Here is a 10,623-nt window from a genome sequence, read left to right as displayed (position 1 = left end):
ACAAAGATGCACATATGCATGCAAACAATATTCTTCATGTACCTATGGAAGGAGTGGAGCTTGGTCAGAGACCTCAGAAGCCCATTCCTGCATTGAGAATCCTTGACCTAAAAAGGATCTTATAATTTATTAATACCTTCTTCCTAGATAGAATGCTCCTAAACAAATTTTTTATTTGTTTGATTTGCCTGCTTGGGTCATATGGTATAGAAGAATCTTTCTCCTTCTCCGAACCATCAAGGTTTTTAGTAGAGTTAAGGTTGTTGATACGACTTTGAAAAGCTTTTATACCGCTAGGCTATTGAAGGTAATTAGACTGATGCCTTGCCTTCTTCTTTGTTTGATTTTTCTCTTGGATGTTTCTTGATTTTGCTCCATTTATTAAAATCACACTCAACAGACCTACGAAAGCATCCGCTTGTAAGGAGAACTCATATTTAGCTTGAAATCAGCTAAGGAAAGTCTCCTCCAACCACACTGATTGCAGAATGCAACGCATAATTAAGTGTTTACTGAAAAAGCCAGCAAACAGGGCCTGGGGGAATATGTCAGAGCAGCTCTGGTCTCCATAGCAACATCCAATGAGCCTTCCAGAATAATGAATGTGTTCTCAGGATCACTGATGCAAAATGACAAAACGGCAGCTAAGAAGAACAGAAAATCAACTACATCATTATGTTCAGAGAATTAAATATTTAATATCTTCGCTTTCTCTCCAGCATTCAATAATCCACATTTATTTTTGGTTGTTTCTAAGTTGCTTAAATGGAGGGCAACTGACATCTGTTGAGTACACCCATAACTGCACGTCTCAATGCCAGTTACATAGCACTGTGGAACACATTTTAAGCAATTAGGAAAATGTAGTGTCAAAAATCACAACACAGTTTTTATTAGTCATGATGCTAGACTATCCTCTCCCACTGATGAGAATATATTCTGCTTGAAATGAAAAATTAAAAAAAAAACACTCCAAACCTCTTTGGGCAATTTTCTTTCCTCATTGAGAAGTGAGTTCTGAAATTGAGTGGTCTTGGAAGGAGGTGGGTGGGGTTGAGGAGCTGCCAGTTTTCTGAGGGTGTTAAGTGCTCAATGAATGTTTTCCTACATGGAATCTTGGAGCCACATCCCTGACTCGGACACTTGGGGCTAAGGAAGCCTCAGCAGCCACAGCCCAGACATCTTTCTCTCCACTTTTTGATTTTCTCATGAGGTAACTAGGCATCAGTGGGTCAGGGCTGTCTCCTATTATCAACAAGATAATTTACTTTGACTCAGTGACATCACCATCCATGACAGGCAATCAGACTATACATGTAAAAAACAAAAAACACTAGCTCAGTGGTCACCAGTCAGTGCTAACAGGAGGACCAATGCAAAAGAAACTATGCAAACTAAATAAAGACGGGGGTCTGAAGGAAAACTTACCTTTATTTTCCCATCTCTACGTTTGGGAGATTTTTGCTACAGGATACTTATTTACGATATATTGCTGAATAATTGGTTTAGCATAATGGCATATTTATGTGTGTGTAAGCATATTCATATATACATTGTAGAATAGTAATACTACTAGTAATCACAGTAATATTATTTATTGAACAACTATGACTTGTCATGCACTTTGCTGGACAGTTTCATGTTTATTGCATATGATTATCATAACGACCCAGCAATGCATTTTATCCCCATTTCCATATAAAGAAACTGAGATTCAGAAAAGCTAGATAACTTGCCCATGACTAGAAAAGGATAGGTGAGAATTCAAATAGAAATTTGCCTCCAAAAATGGTTTTATAGGAATGTGTATGTTTATATATGTACCTGGGGTGCACCTCATGGGCCATGGTTAGGTAGTTTCATGAAGCTGGATGAGGAATCATGCTAGTTAATGCAACACCAAGGATGTATTGCAGCCTAACAAGCCCATCATCTTCAAAGTGTGTGTAACACGTGGTGAACGCACTTGCACCGTGGCGGTTTCCTTTCTCCATCTGAGGATTCCACAGAGTGCTCCAGCGGAGTTTGTTGCTTCCTCTGAGAAACACTGAAGAGGAGGTGGGTAGCAGCCAGTCAAACCGCCGGAGACAAGCTGCAGCTCTTGATAATAAATGTGTGCAAGCCTGGCTGTGTGGAGTCGGGAGTATCGGCTGATGCGTGTTGTGCTGAAACCAGCCTCCATTAGGTGAGAATCACCCTGAATGGGAGTTCTGAAATTTAAAGTTTCTACTGGGATATGAATGAAATGGAGGAGAGTGTGTGTGCATTATTAATATAGTCCTCATCATTCATTACCTTTGGCTTTTAGGATCTTGTCTCTCACACAGCCTCTCAATAGATGACTATAATTTGGAGGTTGGATGACCTGAGACCGTTATGTAGACGAAAGCCAAAAATTTCTAGAACTGCGATATGCATCATTACTTTTCACAATTCCCTGTAGCAAAGAATATGGATTTATTTTTTTTTTTTTGGACAGGGTCTCACTCTCTCACCCAGGCTGGTGTTCAGTGGTGTGATCTTGGCTCACTATAGCTTTGAACACCTGGGCTCAAGCTACCCTCCTGCTTCGGCCTTTTGAGTAGCTGGGACTCCGGGTGTGCACAACCATGCCCAGCTAGTTTTTCAATTTTCTTTACAGACAGGGTCTCTCTGTGTTGCCCAGACTGGTCTCGAACTCCTGGGCTCAAGCAGTCCTTCCACCTCAGACTCCCGAAGTGCTGAGATTATAGGTGTGAGCCACCATAACGGCCAGAATATTACAGTTATGAGCAAGACACATCAACCTCTGTACTCATATTCATAAAAATTGTAGTAAGTATTCAATAATTGTTAGAATGATGATGTAATAAAATAATAACCAAGGACTTTTTATGGACTATCTCATTTAATCGTTATAGCGATGCTTTCAGGTGAAGAAACTGATGCTTAGCAAAATTTAGTAACGAGGTCAAGGCCACAAAGCTGATGAGAGATAGAACCAGCAGCATTTTTGTAGACCTGACAGCCAATTCTAGGTTCAGTTTCTAGTTATTTTTGTAGAAAATCAGAAGTTAACTAGACAGATATTCAAAGCTATCCTTATTTGTAACATATTTCAGTTAACGAGATTAAGACCATGATGCATTTAATAGATAGGGCTTATTCTGTGTTAATCAATGCATTCATTGGTCCATGCAATATGATTGAGTATACACAATGAGGCAAAGTCTATACTGAGTACTGAAGAGATAAAAATAAGTAAAGTATAGTTCCTTGAGAGAGGCTAGAAAATCTTATCATAAAAGGCATACACAGGGTATTAGGAAAACCAAGAAAAAGAATACTTCACTCAGGTTTAGAAGTGGGAGTGGAGTTCAAGGTAGTTGCACAGAGCCAGTAAGATAAGTCAGAAAGCTGTTGTAAATGTAAAGAGGAATGGGCCAGGGCATGGCTGGGAAATGTAGAAGGGTAGGGTAGGGTGACAATCTGAATATATAATTACTGGGTTACTTACTAAGAGACCTAGCAGTCGTTTCCCTTTCAACTTCTCCCCAACCATGGAGCAAGAACAAGGTTCGAAGCAGCTTAAAACCAGAAGGCTCTTTGGATTAAAGATAGTTGAAATTCCCAGCATTTTGGAGTTCCTAAAACAACTCAGGAAACTCATGCTCCTGCTAACATTCTGTTTTCTACAGCACCTTTGTCCCAGGGGTAATTACAGGGCATCTTTTTTTTTTCCTTCACACTATAGCTCCTTTTTCTTTCTTTCTTTTTTTTTTTTAAGAAAATCATTTGTCTTATTAAAAATGACCAGTATGAGAGGCCAGGTACGGTGGCTCACGTCTGTAATTCCAACACTTTGAAAGGCTGAGGTGGAAGGATTGCTTGAGCCCAGGAGTTTGAGACCAGCCTGGGCAACTTAGCAAGACCCTGTCTCTACAAAAAATTACCCACGCTCCTGCAAAATAAATAAATAAATAAATAAAGACCAGCCTGGGAATGTAAAATAGCGCAGCCACTTTGGAAAACAGTTTGGCAGTTTGTTAAAAAGTTACACATAAAACAAGTTCAGGCCTGGCACAAAGGCTCACATCTGTAATACCAACACTTTGGGAGGCTGAGGCATGAGTATTACTTGAGCTCAGGGGGTTGAGACAAGCCTGGGCAACATAGGGAAACCTTATCTCTTTAAACAAAACAAAACAAAACAAAAAAAGCTGGGTGAGGTGGCATGCACCTGTAGTCTCAGTTACTCTGGAGACTGAGGTGGGAGGATCGCTTGAGCCCTGGAAGGTGAGGCTGCAGTGAGTAGTGATCATGCTGCTGCACTCCAGCCTAGGCAACAAAGCGAGACACAGTCTCAAAAAAAATAAATAAATAAAATTCAAAGTATTAAAAATTAGACATAAATTTACTATATAATCCAGCAATTCTATTACAATGTATCTACACAAAGGAACGGAAAACACGTGTCCACATGAAGACTTGGACATGAATTATCATAGCAACATTATTTGTAATGGTTGAAAACTGGAAACAATCACAAATCCATTGAATGGTAAATGCTTAAACAAAATGAACTGCATCCATAAAAGGAATATTAATCAGGAATAAAAAAGGAACAAAGCCCTGTTACATGCTAGAATGTAGATGAATCTGAAAAACATATGCTGAGTGAAAGAAGCCAGATGCAAACACAGTTTCTATGGTGGCATTGACGTGAAATGTCGTGAAAAGCAGAACTTTAGCAACAGAGGATTAGGGGTTACTGGAGGTGGAAATGAGGCATATAACCTCAAACTGACACAAGGGACCTCCTTGGGCTAACGGAAATGTTCTAAAACTGGATTATGGCACTAGTTGCATAACTGAAAATTTACTGCAAAAATCATTGAATTGTACACTTAAAACAAATGAATTTTATGGTACTGTATATAAATTATATCTTTAAAAATATTTTTATAATGATCAATAGCCTTCTAAAATTTTCATTTAGGTTAGATGGCATATCTGAAATGTCATTTTAAACATTAACAACTATAGCAGTCATTTTGGCTCCACACTCTAAAAAACACAACTTTCAAAGCTGTTTTATTCTTTGGCTTAGGAAAGAAAAGAACACAAGACTTTAAGATGGCTCAGGGATTTAGTAAGTCATTGAAGCTGAAACTTTCCACCATGTTCATTGAAATTAAAAGATTATGATTTGCAGATGTTTTCCAGTGGGTCTGGACTGTTTGTCAGCATTTCAGATTCTGTAGAACTTTTTGGGCATGCAATGGAGCAATTAGTGCTGACAGCCCTTTTCTATAATTGTGCTATATCTAAGGCTAGCCCTGGAAATAAACGGTGTTGCTCAACTAACAGCTACGAATTAGCCAAGACAAGAGCATGTTACTTTCCTTTGGTTATGTATCAAATTAGCATTTCACAGGATCGCATGTCTTTTTTGAAGAGCCATGAAGCAGACATTATGGACGCATTTAAAGGAGTCTAATTTGCCTCGATTCTAGTTGTATGTATTAAGCCAACTTTTCTTGGATAAGGACTGAAAGGTATGTAGAGAAATTTAAGTCTAGGAGAGAGATTTATAAGATCAGCACAGATCATTCCCAAGAATCCAAGCAGGCATCGCATGACATTTCAGACTTAACCTTTCACCTCCTAGGAGAGCTGGGTCTTCTGCTCCAGGCTTCCACAGTGATTAAGAACAGTCACTAGTCTCAACCACGCCTATGTTTTGAGTTCTGATTCTACCACATGTTACAACCTTTTTTTGTTTGTTTGTTTGTTTTTTTGAGACCAAATCTCGCTTTGTCGTCCAGGCTGTAGTGCAGTGGTGTGATCTCGACTCACTGCAACCTCCGCCTCCCAGTTTTAAATGATTCTCCGGCCTCAGCCTCCTGAGTAGCTGGCATTACAGGTGTGTGCCACCACGCCCAGCTAATTTTTGTATTTTTAGTAGAGATGGGGTTTCACCATGTCGGCCAGGGGTGGTCTCGAACTCCTGGCCTCAAGTGATCCACCCACCTCCACCTCCCAAAGTATTGGGATTACAGGTGTGAGTCCCCGTGCCAGGCTTTTTTTTTTTTTTTTTTCCTGGGACAGGGTCTCACTCCTGTCTCCCAGGCTGGAGTGGCAGTGGCACAATCACAGCTCACCACAGCCTTGATGTCCTGGGCTCAGGTGATCGTCCCGCCTCAGCCTCCCAAGTAGCTGGGACTATAGGTGCATTGCTAATATTTTTTGTATTTTTAGTAGAGATGGGGTCTCTTTATCTTGCCCAGGCTGGCCTTGAACTCCTGGGTTCAGGCAATCCTTGCCCCTCGGCCTCCCAAAGTGCTGGAATCACAGGCATGAGCCACTGTGCCTGGTATCTCCTACTATCATTGCAACTTTTGGTGAATGATATGGTTTGGCTGTGTCCCCACCCAAATCTCATCTTGAACTGTAGTTCCCATAATCCCCACGTGTCGTGAGAGAGACCCAGTGGGAGGTAATTGAATCATAGGGGCACTTACCTCCATGCTGTTCTCATGATATTGAGTGAGTTCTCACAAGATCTGATGGTTTTATAAGTGGTTCTTCCCACCTTCTCACTCTGCACTTCTCCTTGCTGCTGCCACGTGAGGAAGGATGTGTTCGCATTCCCTTCCACCATGATTGTGGACTTCCTGAGGCCTCCCCAGCCATGCTGAACTGTGAGTCAATTAAGCCTCTTTCTTTATAAATTACCCCGTCTCGGGTATGTCTTTATTAGCAGTGTGAGAATAATCTAATACAGTGAGTACCTGACATTTTTTAATCCTCAGATTTTCTGTCAGAAAACATAAAAATTACGTCTGTTCCAGAGGGTTTTGTTTTGCTTCTGTTTGTTTGTTTTTGAGACAGAATTTCGTTCTTGTTGTCCAGGTTGGAGTGCGATGGCACCGTCTCAGCTCACTGCAACCTCCGGCTCCCGGGTTCAAGGGATTCTCTTGCCTCAGCCTCCCAAGTAGCTGGGATTACAGACGCCCACCGCCATGCCTGGCTACGTTTTTTGTATTTTTATAGTGACGGGGTTTCACCATGTTGGCCAGGCTTGTCTTGAACTCTAACCTCGGGTGATCTGCCCGCCTCAGCCTCCCAAAGTGCTGGGATTACAGGCGTGAGCCACCGCACCCGGCCCCACTGGGTTATCGTGAGGGATTATAAAAATAATTTATATGGAGAGCTTGGCCCAAATTAGGTATCACAAAACATAGGCTATTAGTAACGGTAGTTGTGGTGTCCTGTAGAATCTTCTATCAGAGATAGAAGCACTGTTTTGTAATTATAGTTTAGAAACATCTAGAATGTGTTCAGATGTGAACTATTTGAGGAAGGAAATATCTTCTTATGTTCTTGGCATGAAGCACCGTGCCTGTCACACTGTGTTCCTCTATAAATATTTTTCTACTCATTGAGCTGAATGGTGCCTCATTTTATAGATGAGAGAAGCAAGCTCAGAGATGGTGAATGGTTTCCCTAGGTTGCATAATCTGTGCTATGATGGAATCCAGTATTTCTGGTCCTTCGCCTGAGGCATTTAGCCCGGTTAGCAAAATAGAACGATTGGCTGGGAAAAAGCTGGGAAGTGGGGCAGATTCATAACACACTGGCCAGGCTGCAGATCAGGAGGGTGCTCATGTTTTTAGCTGGACCTCATGGTTGGTTGCCTGAACCACTGTCTCCCTAGCACCTTTCATACCCTGAACTCTACTTTTCACTGTGCCTACCCAGCAAAACCTTAACATTGTGTCAGTAGTGAATTTTCCTTCCCTATTCTTACTCCCAGGCTTCTGAACTTTATGGCAGAAACCCATGTGACTAGGCAGGATGCTACATTACAAATTTTTGGATTCCAGTGCTTAATGAAGTACCTGGGACATAGTAGGCACTTGGTATGTCTTTGAGAGAGTATGTGAATGAGTGAATGAATTAACATGTCTTAGTTCAAAGTCCTGTAGTTGTCTTTGGTCAGCTCCTCTCCCACCTCCAAAGTCATTGAAGGCAATATAAGAGCAGCTGTGAGCCCATTCTCTGGAGTTTAGACCCAGTGGCACCATTTCCTATCAGCATGCTCTTGGGCAATGCACTTCATCTCTTGTCTTTGTCCTCATCTAACAATAGGGATCTCTTTGTCCTCATCTAAAAATAGGGATAGTAAGAATATTGACTTCATTGGGTGAGTGAGAGGAATTCATGCATTAATTCACGTAAAGCACTTCGCACTTGCCTGGTACATCAACGAATATTGTCCTATTATTATTATTATTACTCCTATAACCAACACAACCTCTGACTCCCAAACTGGGGAGGAAGATTTTGCTCTTGACTTGAAGGAGAGATTTGGATCCCTTAGGTGTGAATGATCTCACATTCTAAATTCCTACTCCCAGATTTTAAACCAGGGAGACACGTGGTCCAATTTGTATTCTAGAAAGAGTACAACTTCAGGAGAGTTACTTCAGAATAAGCCAAAATGTAGAACTATAGAAATTTAGAGGAGAAATAAGATTTGAGGGTCATTTATTAAATAAGATTTGAGGGTCATTTATTAAATTTGAGGGTTATTTATCAAATACGCCAAAATGTAGAATTATAGAAATTTAGAGGAGAAATCAGATTTGAGGGCCGTTACTTTTAATGGCGAAAACTGCACTTACTTTTGCAACCTAATAGAAAACTTTCACCATCCATTTGGGAAAATTGCAATCCACAGTTGAAGTGACTACCAGACTGACTCCAGGTCTCGGGCATATTGAGTCCCAGCTCCAAGTATTTAATATTTCTCATGCTGTCATCTCTTAGCGCACAGGCAAAAATGTGTCCTGTGCTTTTTAACCTCCTCTGACGCTGGTGGGTCTGTGCCATCCTCTCGTTTAGGTCTAACGGGGAGAATGTGTTGTATAATCCTGCCCTCTGCTGGATAGTGTGCATATTGCAGCAAAGGGAAGTGCATGAGAAATCCGTCAATAAAGCCAGCCAGATGTCAAACTGAAAGATTCTCCCTGCAAGGAGAAATGGCAATCCTGGGGTTCCTTGGGGTGTGTGTGAGGGATTTCTTGGAATTCTGGTACCAGGATGGAAAGCGTAGTCTTTTATTAAAGGAGCGGGGGCCGAGCAGTGGGGGGTGATAATGTTTCTTTCAAGAGGAATATTGGAAGCGGCCACTCCTTTAGCCACCCGTGTAATTGTCATTCTTTTACTAAGTCTCAAACTCTTTCCGTATTACTAAGAGGTGTTTTGCAGGAGTCCTGGTCTATTCTACTTTGTAAGTCTGTGAACATTTAGAAATTGGTTTATCAAGTCCCAGAAGAGTGCATGCAATGAATCTACCCTGTGGACAAAAAAATTTGCCAAGCATAGTCAGTTTTATAAAAGATGATCAAGTTAAACCGGGACTGAATGTAGCTATGAGTATAACCATTATTATGTCAAGAGGGTGACAGCTTCACAACGAAGCCTGTAATTCTCCATCACAGCGTTTATCTTGCTTATTGAATTCCTTAGACTTTCTTACAAGGCTACAGACTGCATAAGGGCAGGGATCATATTCACCTTATTTTGCTGCTGTAGCCCCAGAATTTAGTAACAGTGTCATGTACACACGAGATCCTCAATGATTAGTTCTTGCCTGACCAACTGAAAATCCTGTTGACTGTCTCTAAAGTCGTGTTGATAGCTGATAGGTGAAAAGTTCCTTTGTGTTTTTGGATAAATATCTGCAGTGTGGGTCATCGTGTTGCAATTGTTTAGTCTTCGACTGTGACCACAACACAAGGAATCCATGGAACTAAAAGTACATATTTGAGCTTAACTTTCTGAGCATTGAGGCTACCAACTCCTTAAAGGGGCAACCATGTGAGTAACAAGGCTTAATTTGATTATTTACTAATACAAAATGTGTGCTTTTATTAACTAGGGTTAGAGTTTTGCATTTACTGGCAATGAGAATTTGGGCAAGCCATTTATTGACGCTAAGCTTCTGTTTCTGTATGTTTCTGCGTGGAGATACAAGTAGTATCTATTTCATAGTTTTGTTCTGAAAAATAAACGAGTTAATTTATTTAATTTACTTGGCTCCAAGGCTTATACGTGGAAAATGATCCGTAAATATTATCAGTAAAAGAAGCGGGAGGAAGATACAGGAAGGAGAAAGAAATAGCTATGGTTGTTTTTTCAGATACAATTGGTGATTTCATTGCCCTTGTTATATTACCTATTAGGCATAATGTTTGTTAAATCTCATTAATTCAAACTACCTTTTTTTTTTTTTTTTTTTTGAGACCAAGTCTCGCCCTGTTGCCCAGGCTGGAGTGCAGTGGTGCAAACTCAGCTCACTGCAACTTCCACCTCCCGGGTTCAAGCGATTCTCCTGCTTTAGCCTCCTGAGTAGCTGAGATTACAGGCACCACACCTGGCTAATATTTGTATTTTTAGTAGTAACAGGGTTTCACCATGTTGGTCAGGCCGGTCTTGAGTTCCTGACCTCATGATCCGCCTGCCTCGGCCTCCCAAAGTGCTGGGATTACAGGTGTGAGCCACCGCGCCCGGCCTCAAACTCTTTTTTTTTTTTTTTTGAGACAGCGTCTGGCTCTGTCGCCCAGGCTGGAGTGC

At 41.1% G+C, this 10,623-nt stretch overlaps 1 annotated feature.

The window, feature by feature from the left end:
* Positions 725-894: an enhancer, noted in NCBI's record as "experimental_45434 CRE fragment used in MPRA reporter constructs". NCBI's record gives its function as "activates a minimal promoter by MPRAs in K562 erythroleukemia cells, with activity observed for both the introgressed and non-introgressed 16:77717928 variant alleles {active_cell/tissue: K562}" and the evidence as "EXISTENCE:reporter gene assay evidence [ECO:0000049][PMID:34662402]".

The sequence above is a fragment of the Homo sapiens genome, chromosome 16 (assembly GCF_000001405.40).
Source record: "Homo sapiens chromosome 16, GRCh38.p14 Primary Assembly".
NCBI classification, from domain to species: Eukaryota; Metazoa; Chordata; class Mammalia; order Primates; family Hominidae; genus Homo; species Homo sapiens.
This window is presented reverse-complemented; position numbering and strand designations above follow the sequence as displayed.